General features: G+C 48.8%; 1 protein-coding gene across 49 annotated transcripts in view, besides 3 other annotated features; it reads left to right on the top strand.

The window, feature by feature from the left end:
• HDAC4 (histone deacetylase 4) overlaps positions 1-15,778 on the top strand; it is a 353,482-nt gene that overhangs the window by 136,486 nt on the left and 201,218 nt on the right. The gene's annotated exons all lie outside the window — the stretch shown is intronic.
• Positions 394-1,061: an enhancer, noted in NCBI's record as "H3K27ac-H3K4me1 hESC enhancer chr2:240185799-240186466 (GRCh37/hg19 assembly coordinates)". NCBI's record gives its function as "activates a minimal SCP1, AML or CMV promoter by ChIP-STARR-seq in primed H9 embryonic stem cells {active_cell/tissue: H9 hESC(primed)}" and the evidence as "EXISTENCE:reporter gene assay evidence [ECO:0000049][PMID:30033119]".
• Positions 2,612-3,111: an enhancer, noted in NCBI's record as "H3K4me1 hESC enhancer chr2:240183749-240184248 (GRCh37/hg19 assembly coordinates)". NCBI's record gives its function as "activates a minimal SCP1, AML or CMV promoter by ChIP-STARR-seq in primed H9 embryonic stem cells {active_cell/tissue: H9 hESC(primed)}" and the evidence as "EXISTENCE:reporter gene assay evidence [ECO:0000049][PMID:30033119]".
• Positions 12,240-12,741: an enhancer, noted in NCBI's record as "H3K27ac-H3K4me1 hESC enhancer chr2:240174119-240174620 (GRCh37/hg19 assembly coordinates)". NCBI's record gives its function as "activates a minimal SCP1, AML or CMV promoter by ChIP-STARR-seq in primed H9 embryonic stem cells {active_cell/tissue: H9 hESC(primed)}" and the evidence as "EXISTENCE:reporter gene assay evidence [ECO:0000049][PMID:30033119]".

The raw sequence follows: 15,778 nt of genomic DNA, 5'->3' as shown, positions 1-15,778 counted from the left end.
GACCTGGAGCAGCAAGTCCTCCCCTGGGGCGGGTTCACAGTGGTTCAAGGGAGGTGGGAGAGCCCCAGGGCTGGCCCCTGGCTCTTTGGCCCCCATCCCCCACTCTCCAGCCCCTGTCAGGCTCTGCACCCCTGTCCACTTCAGCCCGCATTGGGCCTGCCCTGCTCTGCAGGGGGAGGGGCAGGAGAGTCCATCTTCAGGGTTCTCTGAAGCTGGACAGTTCTGAGAGGCAGCTTCCAGCTCATGGAAAAAAGAAAGCCCATTGCCACACCTCCAGCAGCATATGGGGGCCTTCAGGTCCCCGGAACACCGAGTAGGAAGGAAGGGGCAGGACCCTCCGACGGGGCAGCAGTGGGCCAGGTGTCCCCCCTGCACAGTGTTTACACCCTGGGACCTGCCGCAAGGCATGGCTTTCAGAAGAGCCTCCCCCCAAGAAATGCTGCAGACAGGACGGGGCTTCTAGAGACCTTGGCTTCTACCCAGGAAGGCTGATCTATTCTTCGACTGTTGCATCAGCTTCCTCAACCTCTGCAGGTTCAGGCTGCGAGCCCTAGGGAGCATCACTCAAAGCACCCTGTTGGCCACTTAGGATCAGGAGGGCCTCGGCTCACCCAAGCCATCTCCCTCTGGTCGCATGTGGTTGGCTGTCCTGTCAGAGCCGTGGGCAGCCACACTTCTTTTTCCAAGATAAACCGCTGCATCTGCCCAGCGACCTTCATGTGTAGTCTTACATTAGCACATTCTTAACAGACATTTAGAAACCAACCAAACAAAATCCAGTTTCCTGCCCCCACGGTCTTTCGCTCTTTTGCCACACTCACAAATGTGAGCTGCATTTGGAAATGCCTGTGCTTCCATTTGCAAACCGAAGCTGAATGGAACCTGGCAGGCGCATCTGCTCCTCCGCAGTGGAGGCTGGGGCGGCCCGAGCAGAAAGAGGTGAAGCCTGTGCCTGCTGGGAGTCCCCGAGCGGCAGGAACTCCGGTGTCTGGGATGGCCTTTGGGGTGTGACCTTAGGCTGAGGCCAGAGCCCGTCTCCCCACGAGCTCCCCGCCTGGCCTGGGAAAGTCAGCCCCCTCCTTTCCAGGGCTGTGTCTTCCCCCTTTTGTTTTCAGTCATTGAGCCCCCGCTCGAGGATGGCCCCCACCCCAAAGGTCCTGTGTGCCCTGAGTAAGCCACTGGCTCTCAGAGGTGCCCACGTACCCTTCCTTTCAGACTGAGGGGAGCAGTGGCCAGACAGGGCTCTGCCTTCACGGAGCTTCCCCTCTGCAGAGAAGGGGCAGAGTGGCGTCACTGGGCAGCCAGCTTAGATCGAGCAGCAGGAGGCGAGGCTCAGCCGAGTCGGACAGCTGGGGCCAGGCAGGCGGCTTGCTCTGCATGCCCAGGACAGCAGCACTGGGCTCTGTCCCCCCGTCGGTGCCCCCGTGTCTCTCAGGAACCCCTTCAGATGTGGTTAACACCTCCAACTTGGAGGCCTTTCCTGACTGTCCTGACCCTGTTTATTCTTCTCTCCCGTGTCCTTCTAGAACATACTCTCAGGCAAGGCATGAAGATGCTGCTGTGTGTAGAGCCTCACTTCCCTGCCCTTGCCCCTGTCCTTGACAGCAGCTCCGTGCGGGCCTAGCAATACCCGTTGGGCATCAGTGCCAAGAGCTGCCCTGCCTGGGGGTTCCTGGTGGTGTAGACGTGGACGCCTCCACACCTGTGCAGTGAGGCCCATGGGGCAGCTCCGAGGGGGAAGCTGTTCACCTGCTGCCTGTTGTGAAGAGAAGGGGTGATCTCCAGGCAGGGGACTGGGCGGGCTTCGGGGCGGCTGATGTGCAAGGGGCTGGGATGGGCGGGGGTCCTCAGGGTGGGCTTCGAGACAGCTGATGTGTAGGGGGCTGGGCTGGGCGGGGGTCCTCAGGGCGGGCTTCGGGATGGCTGATGTGCAGTTGCACAGTGGCCCCGTGCCCTTGGAGCCATTCTGACCTCTGGGGCAGAGGCTAGGGCACCGACACAGCAGACATGAAGGAGGGTAGTGTTTTTCATATTTTCTAGCAGTAATTGCAGTGGTGTGTATGTGCCTGTGTCACCGCCGCAGCAGGTTCTGGGATCTTCTCTTGGTCCCGAGTGTTTGGGGCAGTGTCCACATCCTTCATTCTCTCGTGTCTTCATCGGCATAATGGGCCCTTCCTGGGGCTTGGCTTCCCGGGGGCTTCACGCGTAGATCTTTCGTGAAGCACAGAAGCTTCCAGGCTGTCTCAGTGGTGCCGTGACCTTCCAGTGAGGGATCCACTCCTTAGAGCCTCACGCTCTCCTGCTCACCAGGGCACCAGCTTTTCCAAGAGCTGCTGGGTGGATCCCAGAACAGTCCCTCCGTGTCCTTAGTGCCTGAGCACAGGCCTCCTCGTCTGTGTTCTTGGGCTGCGAGCGTGGCCCACAGAATGCCCTGTGCCCGTTGCGCCTTCAGCCGTGTGCACCCTTGGGGGTGTCCCGCTTGTGGTGCCTGCCCACCCCTGCACTAGCCCAGGTCTCGTTGGTCCCACACTCTTGCCCAGAAAATGGAGCCAGGCTGAGGATGGGGACATTTGGCCAAGAGTGTCAGAGCCAGGCTCTGGCCCCCTCAGAGTAGAGATCAGTCTTGCCTGCTAATGGCATTACCTCATCTCGGACCTGGGCAAACAAGGCAAGGGTGATTTGAGAAGATCCTCGTCTGTTTCTAATTAAATTTCTATCTCTGCTTTCACAAAAGCTTCTCTTTTATCTCTTCCTCCTAATTATTTTTAAAATCTCAAGGAAAATACATCCCTTCCACTTACGATTCCGCAGAGAACCAAATTGCTACTCTGTTTCTAAAGTGTGTTATTGTGGTCTCTGATACTAAGCCAAGGTTTCTGTAATCCCACTAAAATTTTATCTCACATCACAGAAATTTAGGATTCCCCCAAGGAGACACCACAGGAGGAAATACTAGCTTATAAAAAGCCACGTGGATACCTTGTCGTGGGTCTCAGTGGACCGTGGCTCCTTCTTGGGCCTTGGGGTGAGCGTGGCCCGGCGTCACTGCAGGCGGCGCTGGCGTGGTTGGGAGGGTCCCTCAGGGCTTTCCCTTGGAGCGACAAGGGGGCAGATGCCACCCTGCTGGATTCCCACCTAGGGCCTCTGTGTCTGGGGCCTTCAGGGAAGAGGCCAACCTGTAGGGGCCGGGGGCTCACGAAGGCAGTGCTTTCATGGCGCCAGGCAACCCGAGGACCCTCCGACATAGGCTTTTCGAGACTCTCAGTTGCCCTGGGCAGGCTGGCAGCAGAACCTCCTGGCTGGGCCGGGTGGGGGGTGTCCCTGCCGGGCTCCTGCCACTGTTAAGGAGCGAGGGAAGGTTCTGGGGTGGTTTGAGTTGGAAACCTCGCCTTCTAAGAGTGGACCAGCCCACTGCTGCCCCTTCCTCCCCGTGGGCCTGGGCCACCATCTCACCAGGCCCTCTTAGGACGCTGACTTCTGCTTTTCTTCAGCAGGGAGACCCCTTGTCCAGCCTTGTCTCTAGCCCGTGGGTTGTGGGGGAACCAGAAGGCTCCTCCTCTGTGGACCTGAGGCTCCCAGCCTGGGAAGTCTACATGCTGGCTGGCAGGCTAGTAAGATGCCCATTTTTGGCAACTGTTGAAGCGTGTTTTGTCATGTCCTAGGATGCCCCATGGATGCACCTAACAGGGTCCCCAGGGCCTGCCCACCTCCCAGAGCCCAGGCCTGCCACGGTTTGCTTCCGTCTGTGCAGAGCCTGGCTGGCTGTGACCACGCTCCATCTCAGCACACGGCAGCTGCTGGGGTGGAGTTCTGGACTTGGTGCCTTCTGTACGCCCTCCTTAGTCTCATCTCTAGCGTGTTACCTGGGCTCGTGTACATTCTGTTGAATTTAGTTCCTAAAGTGCATTTAGGCCTCGGCAGTACCTGTCTCACCTGCACGTTTCTTGATTTTCTGTTTGCCTTTACAGAATGGGCCAGCTGGGCTCAGTCTTATCTTTAACACCACCCCGGCCACCCCATCTCAGGAGGCTGAGGCTTAAGCCCAGCCTGGGCAATGTAGCAAGATCCTGTCTCTACAGAAACAAACAAAACATCCAGAACGTCCACCTGAAACCTTAGTGCCGCATCGAGTTTAGGTGCATGTACCTGTGGGGAGCGGAGACTGCCGCTCCAGCCGCTCCCAGGCTGGCTTCCGTCTCCACCCCAGTGCCCTGGCCTTGTCATCTTCCACGTAGGAAGCTGGGTTTTCTTGGTGGCCGCTGACAGGATAGGCTTCCGTGCCTCCTTCTCAGGTTCAAGGTGTGAGTCCCCATCCCAGCAAAGACAGAGCCATTTGCACAATGCAATGTGAGCCGCCTTCCTGCCCTCCATGGGAAAGAGAGGCAGCGCTCGGGCCCCAGGTGGAAGGCGTGCCCAGGGGGAGGCCAGGCATGAGAACACTGCAGCAGGGGGACCTCACATCCCCTCACATCCAACCTTGCAGGCTGCAGGAGCAGAGCCGGAGGCCACAGGCCACAGGCCACACAGCAGGGCCACAGAGAAGCGGTACTCCCAGGAGTGAGTGGCCTGATAGGCATTTGATAGAGACACTTGAGGCTACAGTGTTGGGATTGCTGGCGGGAAGAGAGATGAGGCCAGCAGGCCGGTTTGGGGCATTCTGTACCACGATGAAGGATAATAGAAACTTAGCATGTTTATTGGACAATAAACAGACCCTGCTCCAGACCCGTTATTTGTACCACTTAGTTAATACTCGTATCAGCACCCTGAGATCCAAGCGTTGTCCTTCCCATTTTATGATGAAGAAACTGGGACATATAAAACTTGCCTAAGATCTGACAGCTAGTGAGTGAGGGAGTCTGGTTTGAATTGCACGTCTGGGTTCAGAGTCCACGGTCTTACCCACCATGCGATGCTTTTGCATGAGCGTGTGTGTGTGCGTGTGTGCAAGAGAGTCGTCACAGGGCGCCTGCAGAGTCTGGACACGCGGTCCGCAGAGGGGCTTCCGTTGGATGGGACACCCCAACCTCTGTCTTTCAGCTGAACTTCACCAAAAGGAATTGCTCAGCTTATAGAGGTGGCGGCCTGGCATGCAGTTAGGAAATCAATCACAGCGTTGGGGGTGGAAGGCAAGGGAGCGGTGTCATCTGGCTCCTTGAGTCTTCAGCCTTCCTTCCTGGGCTCTGGCAGGAGCTTCACCCTTAGATCCTCTTCTCCTTAGCTGGCTGTCAGATGCCCTCTGTGTGACAAAGGACGTTTCACTGTGTCACTTCTCTCTTCCTCTCCTGCCCCACAAGGCCATATTTCCTACTTGCAGGCTGTGATCTAGGGACTGGGGCTCACGCCATACCACAGGCTCTGGGCTGAGAAGAAACTCCTTTTTTCTTCAACATTGTCAGCAGAGATCTTTCCTCTTCATTAGTCTTTTTAAACAACCAGGTTTTGGTTTTGTCACTTCGGTCTATATCTCTTTTCTGTTTCAGTAAGTTCTGTTCTTATTACTTCCTTTCACTTTTATGAGTTTAATTTCCGTTTGTTTCTAAGCCTTTGAAGTGGAACCCGAATATGAGGATTTTAAGGCCATTTTCCTCTATGCATGGCTTTCGCTGCTTCCCAGAAAATTTAATGTGTGCTATTTTTATTACCCAATTTCCCTTTGGCATATAGGTAATTTATAAGTGTTTTTTTGGTTGTTGTTGTTTTGTTGTTGTTTTGTTTTTGAGACGGGGTCTTGCTCTGTCACTCAGGCTGGAGTGCAGTGGTGTGATCTCAGCTCACTGCAGCCTCCACCTTCCAGGCTCAAGCAGTCCCCCACCTCAGCCACCTGAGTAGCTGTGACCACAGTTCTACCACGCCTGGCTAATTTTGTGTATTCTTGGTAGAGACAGGGTTTCACCTTGTTGCCCAGGCTGGTCTTGAACTCCTGAGCTCAATTGATCAGCCCACCTCAGCCTCCCAAAGTGTTGGGGATTACAGGCGTGAGCCACTGCATCTGGCCAAGTGTATTTTAAGGTTTTCCTAGTTCTTTTTTGTTGTTGATTTTTACTTTAGTTGCATTATATTCAAAAAAATGGGGTGATACGCTGTCAAAGTCAGGAATCAGTACCTGTGTTAAAGTCTACTTTGTCTGACGTTAATATTGCTATGCCAGCCTTCCTTCGGCTGTTATTTGCAAGGTACATATTTTTCCAACTGTTTTCTTTCCATACTTTGCATAGCTGTATGTTTTAGATATTTCCTTGTGAAAAGCATGTGTTTGGGAATTTTTTTAGTTTATGTTCTTCTATGCAGTCTGGCAGTCTTCACTTCGGAGTAGAGCCTTTAGTTTGTTTACATTGAACATGATTGCCTAGAATGTTTGTGTGCCCATCTGCCATTTCACTGTGCCCTTACTCCTTTGTCCTGTCTCTTCTGTGGCATACTTTATTATTTGTCAATATTCATTTCCATATATCCACACGTGTAAACCCTTTTCATTGTTCTTTATATGGGTGTTCATTTCCAGTCTTCCCTCTGAGATCAGGTGTGAGAATGTCTTCTGGTGTAAGATGATCAGTCTTTGTTGGAAAATGACTCTTTGAAGAATGCCCGTGCTGGTTAGAGGATTCTAGTTTGACAGTTACCATCTTCTAGTACTTCTAAGCAGTCCTTCTGCACTGTGAAAGATATTACTGTTTTCTGGTTTACGTGTTTCCGTTGAGAAATCACCAGTCATCCTAACTGCTGTTCTTTGTAGGTAATCCCCCCTCCCCCTCCACGGCCGTTTTTGTTTTCAGCAATTTTCCCTGGTGTCTTTTAGCCATTTGGGGTAGTTCTTGGCCAGGGTCCTTTCAGACGTGCTTTTGACCCGTTCAGTGTCTCCTTTCCTGTGTCTGCCTGCACATTCTGTCTCGGTGCCTTCTGTTTCTCCAACTTCCTGCCCTTGACTTTTGAGATCATTCTGGAAATGTCCTTCTGGCCCACCTTCCTACTCACAAATTCACTCTAGCTGTGTCTAATCTGTTAAATGATGGAGTCCTTAATTTCACTTTTTGCATTTTTCAGTTCTAGAATTCTCTTTTCAAGTTTCCAACTCATCTTCTTAAACATAGAAATCATCATTTCTTTAAAATCTATTTCTAAAACTGCCGCAGGATCTTAAATTGCATTCAACTCTTTTATCGTTACTAGAACACTATTGATATTCCTACTTTGAAACTATTGTTTATGGGTCCTGGTATTGCAGCAAATAAGTAACAAAGTCTCTTTCTCAGAATTCTATTATCTGGAGCACCTGAGGGTCTTTTTCTATTGTTTGTTGTTCTGTTGGGTTTTTTTTGTTGGGTTGTCTTTTCCTCTGCCTGATATGTGAATGTGTAAGTGTGTGTGTTGAAAATATTATTTGCAAAATCTGTTGAGACAGTTTGAGGCCTAGGATGATGACATCATCCTCATTAGTAGACTGAAGTTTGTTTCTGCCTGGTGCTTGGGGGCCCTAGCAATGAGTCATCACTTCAGTTCTATTTCAAGGATTACAGAGTCATTAGAAGCAGAGCTGCAATTGTTGAGGGTCCATTTATTGTGGAGTCTCTTTTTTTCCCTAGGGGTTGCTTCCAGATCCCAACCCACATTTCCCTCCTTCTCTCCTGCCTGTCAGTCCCTGGAGTTCTCCTCCTAACCCTAATATCTGCAAGAGGCGGTCAAAAGTACTAAAGATTCTTAGATGGCTGGGGGTGGGGCTCTGCAAATACCAACAGGGGAAAATCAGCCCCAAATGCCATCTTCACCCCCCAGCCTTTGTCTGGTCCTGTAATTCTTCACTGTTTTTTTTTAACTTAGTAGTGTCATCAAGAAGATGTGTTTATATTTGTCCAGCTTTTGTGATTTTTCTCTCTGCTAAGGCTGGACCACATGGCCTATTTCACCTTTTTTCTTTTTTTTTTTGCACTTGTGTTTTTTGAAGCAGTCATGTTTATTAAATATCGATATTCAGAGTTTTTTTGGTCAAAAACAAAATTCTTCTATAAGATGATTAGCAGTATATATGGAAAATCAGGCAATTTGAAATGAAATTAATAACTAAGATAATTATTAAAGGGTTTATAGGAATGCTTATTCTGTTATTTACCCAGAGTTATTTGTCTACATGGATATTTTAGAGTTTTAACAGCAAGTTTATGTGAGAATAGGTGTTTCTGTTGAGGGACATCTGAAAATACCCAGGTTCTTCTGTCTTCTTAGGCTATCCCACGTGGATTCTTGGTCTAGTGGATCCGATTAGCAGTATACCTGCATTCTAACAAATGGAATGGTAAAATTAGTATTATTAGCATGTTAAGGTCAAACTGTTTCCAGGTACTCTTGCTTGGGTAGAGATTTGGAAGTTGACTATATTTGAAATCTGAAGGGTGACAAGTCAGTGTTTCTCCACATTATCTGTTTCCCCATAGGTAGCTTGATTTATTCATCCAGTCATCTGCCCATCCAGTCCCTTCTGCTGCTGAACTAGTCATTGCTTCAGGGTCATGGACACAAAAACAGACAAGGGTATGCCCCTCTTAGGGGCAGACACAGAACAGTATCAGTGGAGCGATCTGAGGAAGCCAGTGTTGGCAGGGAGCCTTCTAGATGGCCAACACCTTCTATGAAAGAGGAGGATGCTGCTGGGGTGAAGTCCTGGCCTTCTGGGAGGGGCTGGAACCCGCCTCGGCGCTGGGTCAGTGCTCTGGATGGCAGCCTGGCCCCGACCAGCCTGTCCTTTCCCCCATGTGTTGTTCTGAATCTCTTTCCCCTGCGACAGAATTCACAGAAAAAGCAAACCTAATTTTTTCCTTAGTCAAAACTATTAAAAAAGAAAAATCCCACACTTAAAGCCAGACCTCTGCAGAAGTAAATTTGGGAATTCATTCTTGGATTTGTTTCTCTCCTGCCTTAAAAGAGAAAGAAGCCTCCTAGAAGGAGCCCCACTGAACTTGTTTGCTGTTTTCTTCAGTGAACCGCTTTCTGTGGCTCTGCCTCTCTGAGAATGTTTCAAACTCTGAAACGCAGCTGGAACACACTTGAGATGCTCCACACAGACTACAAAGTGATGGCATGGACTGTGCAGAACAGATGCTGTTTGCATTAAAATAAAAGACAAACATAATATTTGCATTAATCGAGAACCTTTGCAGGAGTATTTGCATAGAGTGGTTTATCCTTTTCCAAGAGCTGGTTACTCTTAACTAATTTCTGAGTGTAGAAAGGATAAGCAATCTTTTGCTGATTATTTCTCACAAAGAATTGCTTTTGCCCAAGTGTGTAGCTGTTTCCAAAGACGGGCTCTCCGACATGCACGTGTGATGTTGAGTGCAGCACAGGAAGAATGGCCCATGTGCCTGGCAGTGATTGCTGTCAGTCATGCTCTTGGGAGCTTTTTGTGTTTCAGAGTAGGATTGCTGAGCTCGTACCCTGCTTTTAGTGGTACTGAACTTTGTTTCAGCAGAGTTGTGCAGAGTTACTCACACTAGACCATATTTCAGTGGCCTCCTCTTCCTCCTTATAATGAGAAGAAGCCAAGGCTGTGGCATGTTGGCGTGTCAAGTGTTTTGGTGCCTGTGCGTACAATTTCAGGGACAGCTGTACTTAATTCTTATTTCATTAGTGAAGGCTGTGTAAGAATAAAGACAAAGGACTCAGAGCAAAGAAAAAATGACGGTCTCTCAAAGAGAAGTAGAGCCCGGAGATGCAGGTCATAAACCCTGCATAATTGGCTCTGAGTTTCTTAGCTGTCAAAGGAAAAAGGGAAGCCCTTTAATTTTAAGGTCTATGTTGTTCTTAAGAGGAAACCAACCAGGTGTTTTAAACAGTGACTTTGAAACACACACACACACACACACACACACACACAGTGAGAAAACAAGATTACACATAGTCTCGGTATCTGTATGAACCTTTGTATTAATTGAATATTCAGTAGTTATTAATGTGTACTTACATGATTTACTAGTGTTTTTGCCTTACCATTGCTTCTGTCATCTTACTCTTTCACCTGGGATATGATTTTCTTCCTTCTGACATAATCCCTTGTTAGTTCAGCAATGGTTTCTGAATGGTAAGTACTCAAGTTTTGTTTATCTGAAAATGTTTTTGTTTTCCCTTTTACCCGAATGATAGTTTAGATAGGTGTAGAATTGCAGGTTGCTGTGTCTTTCAGCATGTTTGAAGACATTTCATTATCTTTTGGCTACTTTTGTTGCTGTTGAAACATTGCCTCTCAATTCAATGTTCTTAGATCATCTAACTTTCCTACCTTGGTGCTTTTAAGATCTTTTTCCATGTTTAGTGTTTAAATGTTTTATTGCACTGTGTCTAGATGTCGATTCACACTTATTTATCCTAATAGAGACTTAGCATGCTTCTTAAATCTAAGGACTGTTATGTCTGAATTCTGGAATATTCTCATTCGTTATCTGTTTTAATACTGCATTTGTACATTTTTTCCATTCTTTAGGAACTCATACTAGGTCTATGTTGGACCATCTTATTCTTTTATCCTTGCTTCTCTCCTTTATCTTTTCCTATCTTTGTGCTGCATTCTGGTTAGTTATCTAGATCTAGTTTTATCTTTATATCTAATTTGCTGTTTTTATCTTTAACTAGATCTAATCTGTTCTTCTCAATTATAGAAAATTCACTTAATTCTTTTTAAAAACTTCTCATCTCCCATTTCCAGGTTTTTTTCCTTCATGATAGTTTCTCTTCTTCATTTAACTTTTTTTTTTTTTTAGCGCAGCTTGTTGTCTTTTCCACATTGTTTTAATATTTGTGGACATTTTGGAGTCATTTCTCGGTTTTGTTGTTCTTGCCGATTCCCACATGGTGGGTTGTTTCCATCTATCATTTGTGATGTTAAATTTGCATGGTAAACTCTTCAGCAGGGGACTTTCCTCCCTCCCTTCCTCTCATCCTTCTTTGTGTGTTTTGTGTGCTGTGGATTGTGGGTGTAGCCCTAAGGAGCTATTTTTCTTTGTCTTCCTGGGGCTACAGGGTTTCCCAGGTTCTAGACTAGTTTTACCCTTATTTCTAGACTTGAGATTCCAGAACTACTCAAAGAATATGAATCTGGAGGCCACATCCACAGGGACCCAGGTTTAGGGTCTTAGATTCTCACTGAAGCCTCTTCCTAGCAACCCTCTATTGCTTCCCAGGCCTGGTGGGTGGGGTTTTCTAGTTCTCTTTTCATAGACCAGACAGTCCTCCAAGAGTTCTGCCCGGACACAGGGTCTCAGTTCCAGTTCCCTGTCCAAGCCACGCTCATGGCCACCTCTCCTGCCCACCCAGATATGCAGCCGCCCACTGGCTCCCTGGTGCCTGTCTCCAGTTCTGATGACTCTTGGGCCCCAGGAACAGGCAGCTGGGTCTTAGTGCACCTGCTCAGAGGGCCGTTTGCTTTCTTTCCTTTCTGGTAATTGGGGTCTTCTCTTGAATTCAACTCTGCCTACAATATTAGGGCGAGATTTTATTCTATCTTCATAACTGTTTCTTTGTTCTTACAGTGGGAAGCGAGGGATCCTTATCGAGTCAGTGCAGTAAGGTTTGGGAACCTAAAGTTCTGGTTGACTTGCTGTGTTCTGTAGCTCTGTGTTGTGGACATGAGGAGGCTCTGTGCTTTTCAAAGTGTAAAATTGGCTTTTACTACAGGCGCGTGTTAATTCAGAACATCAAAGCAAGGAGTACACATTCAGCCACTGCTGTTTTCCAGTTCCTCTTTTCTTGTAGTTGAGTTAAAAGGCTAGCCCTTCTTTCTAGTTGTCTGAATATTAGATGTGACATCGGTCATAACAGCATACAGGGGTGTTCGTTTTAATTCAAGATTGCCTTCATGCCCAAGTGTGGGACTTTATGGGTATAAAACCAAAGAAATTTGCTTTAGATTACGAAAGCTGCATCTTTGTTTTGTTTTGATGTAATTTCTGTGTTTTCTTTGCCGTATGATTCTGATTTTTACCACGCTAACGCAGTGGTACAAGATTTATCATCTGAGTTGCACGTTGAGTGATAGGAAGTGGATTTGTTCCCGAGACTCTAATATCTTAGGAGAAGATGAAAATATGTCATGAGCTTAATGCCGCGTATGAAGTGTGATGGGAATGTGTGTTGTGCCTCTGCTCTGCCAGGCACACTGCCAGCTACACAGGAAGCCTGCTAGGAAGTGTGCAGTGCGGGCCGCCGTGGCCAGCGGGCTCTCCGTTGCAAAACCGGTGGCCGGCGAAGCGCAGGTGGTGCGTTCCTGGCGGAGAACAGGCTGGGTCTTAAGGGTGTGTGCGTCAGGGAGGGAGGAGAGAAATGATCGGATTTCTGCTTCTTCAAAATTCAAAAATAACTTTATTAAACAGAAGATAAGGGATTATATTTTTAAAATTTTGGATAACTCTGTTCTTAGAGCTATGAAGCATTTAAAACCTTGGAAAATCGTTTAAGAAAACATTTTAACCTATTGACTGCCCTCTGGTTTGGTGCAGTGTTTGTCCTTTGGCGGAGAAGCAAGGGGAGGAGGTGGCGGGCACAGACCATCTTCCCATCCTCAAGAAGGAACTTCCGTGGGACATGAGAGCTCTTGGAGGCAACAGCTTCCTTTTTGTTCTGCTCTTTCCCTCGTGCCTTTTGATTTTTCTCTTTAACTTTCTGCTAAAACCTGAGAAATGCTCTCAGCCAATCTGCTGAAGGAGGGGAAAGTCAGAGGACTTGCTCCCACAACGTGGGCTGTGTCCATGGTGACGTGGGCTGTGTCCATGGTGGCGTGGGCCATGTCCATGGCATAGGCTATCTGTGGCACTGCGGCTTGTGAGTACGTTTGTGGGTGCTTAGTCCAGTCCTCTCAGTCCTGCAAGGTTGGAGAGCATCCTGGCACCCATTCGATGGCTGTTGACGGTGAGGCCCACACTGATCAGCTGGCTCATGTGGCATCACAGGCTCCTGGGAGTGGATCCTGGCTTTGATGCTGGGCGATCCTGCTCCCACACTCCCGGCCAGAATCCTGGAACCACCATGACAGTCGTCATGTGGAAACCACAAGCTGGAAAGTCTGGAAGGGGCAGAAATCCACATCCTGCCAGTGACATTAGCGTAGTGAACATCCAACAGCAAGTCGCTTCTCCTGGTGGTGGCTCTATTTTTAGAAGATTAAAATAGAATGCAATACAAAGAAATCACTGTATATTTAGAAACTGAAGCTTCTGTTGTATAAAAAGGAATAGTGATAAGATTAAGTTAGTCTTGGTGTAGGGGAGGTTGTGATGTGTAGGGTATATTCATTCTGTGCATAACAGAAATGTAATAGTGATTTCTGCACATGGTACACCTGCTTCTTAGAGGATCCAGAAAAGCTGGTTTTGTTGGAGGGAGGAGTGTGCTGGAGTACTATTGAATTAAATAATAATGATGTGATTATCTTGAATGTACATTTGTACCATTGAATAATGAGCCTTGTGCAGTGGGAGAGCGTGTTCTAGAATACAAGGAGGTAGATTGGGGCATCTCAAGCAGGAGCTAGGACTGCAGGTACTGTGTGGTTACAGCTGGGGCCAGTGTGTGGAGAATGGAACTCTTTGTTTTTATTTTTTATTTTTATTTTTGGAGGCAGGTCTTGCTCTGTCACCCAGGCTGTAGTGCAGTGGTGTGATCTTGCTCGAGAGATCCTCGTGCCTCAGCCTCCCAAGTAGCTGGGACTACAGTCACACGCCACCACACCCAGCTGATTTTTTGTATTGTTGATAGGGACAGGGTCTCATTATGTTACTGAGGCTGGTCTTGAATTCCTGACCTCAAGCAATATTCCCGCCTCATTCCTCCCAAAGTGTTGGGATTACAGGCGTGAACCACTGTGCCTGGCTGGGAATGGAAATCTTTACCCAGATCACCCACGACGCTAGCTGTGGTGGCATCTGTGTGTCTCCCCCATCTTCACTTTTTAGAAATAAAATTTTGTTTGAAAACATTTTAGATATGAAAATAAAACTACGTGGTGTATATTATTCGGTAGTACCAAAATTAAGGAGAGTAAAACGTCTTGAAATCGTTTAAAGTTGAGGACATGGAAACCACTCATGTGGAAAGGCCCTTTCCACCCCACGTCATCCTCTAAGGGAGCTGACGGCGCCCACAGGGCCAGGTGCCAGCTGACGAGTCTCTTTCCAGACGTGCTGGCTGCACCGGTAAGTTGATGCAGGTCTCGAGGTGAACCAGGCGTGTGGCGGGGGCACGTGAACACACGTGGGCAGGTTCCCCGGGTCTGCAGAGGGGAGGATCCCGCCAAGGGTGAGGGAAAACCGCCCCCGAGTCCCATCTCTGGCAGCTCTTCTGCTGGGGAGGCCCATGAGCCAGTCCACTGTCGTGCCCCTTCGCTGTGGCCTCTGGCAGCGGGCTTCTGGCTGGAACACAGCAGTCCACAGTCAGGCCACTGAAAACCGTCCTTTCTGTCGAGGTCCCAGGGAGGAAGTGCCTCTTCTGGCCCCTTCTCCTTGGAGAGGCCAAGACGTTCCTCTAAAGGAGGCCCGATGCCTGTGTCACCACTGCCAGTGCACGCTGAACCCATAGCAGCTTCTGGATACTTCAGGAGAATGGCCTGCTGTGTGAACCAGTGCTTGATTTTGTACCCACTGTGTCTGCCCCAAGACAAGCTGCTGGAGGCTCCAGCCAGTGGCAGCCCCAGTGGCAGGAAGGCACGTGGAGCTGACTGCCTGGAGCTGGGCCGTGCGGGGCCCTGGACTATCTGAATCTCATGTCACATTTTCACAGCCTTCAATTCCTTGTTCTTCCCCACTGGTTCTGGCCAGGTGGCCCCGGGATCTCTGGGGAGCCACCTGCAGGGTTAGAGACCGGGTACTGAAGACACAGTGATGTTATCACCTGGACCTCTCCTCTCGGACCCCTGGGGGCCGACTCTGTGTCTTCATCAGCTGGGTTCTCAGCACCTAAGGTGATGTCTGGACCACACGTGTCTCCTGATAGTGCTTGTCAGAGTCATGGAATAAAAGCAGGGTGCTTTGTTTAACCAGAGGACATCCACGCATCCTCATAGGAGATGTGGAGCGGGGTATTCCCTGCAATTCCGATGGGAGAGGCCGCGGTGGCCATCACGGAGGATGCTGCGCTGGGCCTCCTTCCAGAGGCGGGAGGGCTGTGCACGGCCTCCTTCCAGAGGCGGGAGGCCCGGAAGCAGAGCTTCCCCTTGGATGACGCGTCACAGCAGGAAGGAGCACAGCTGTCGCGGGGTGAGAGACGGCAGAACCAGTGTGGAGCAGCCAGCTGACACATTAAACGAGTCTTCACTGCTTATGTATATTTTGTGCACATTCTTTCCTGACACAAGAGTTTTGAGTGCAGTGTGTGTCACTTAATATTCAGCTCCTTGTTTTTTTTTTTTCTTTAATAGCTCAGCTAAAGGAATGAATAAATATTTTAGAAGATTAGAGCCCCTCCCAGGATGGCGTGGTATTTGGATAGTGAGATTTCGGGTAGAGTAAAGGATGCTGCTGAAATACATGTTGTTGTAGAATATGGAGAACTTGAATTTTGAACCATTGACACAAATTCTGAACATTTTGGATTTTTTTTTTCCTGAGAAAGTCACAAAGTAATGATTCAAAGGAGGTTTAGACGTACTGTTTGCTCTTCAAAATGGTGATTGGCTCTCTTAAAATCAGCAGGTTCCATCAAATCTGCATTTTGGATTTCCGGCTTGCTTCTCCCCACTCAAGTCTCTCTGTCTTCCCTACCTGGGTGAGTGTGGCACACCCACGCCAAGTCCATCGCAGAG

This window comes from Homo sapiens, chromosome 2, assembly GCF_000001405.40.
Source record: "Homo sapiens chromosome 2, GRCh38.p14 Primary Assembly".
Lineage (NCBI taxonomy): Eukaryota > Metazoa > Chordata > Mammalia > Primates > Hominidae > Homo > Homo sapiens.
Note: the sequence above shows the minus strand (reverse complement) of the source record. Positions and strands in the feature narration are given on the sequence as shown.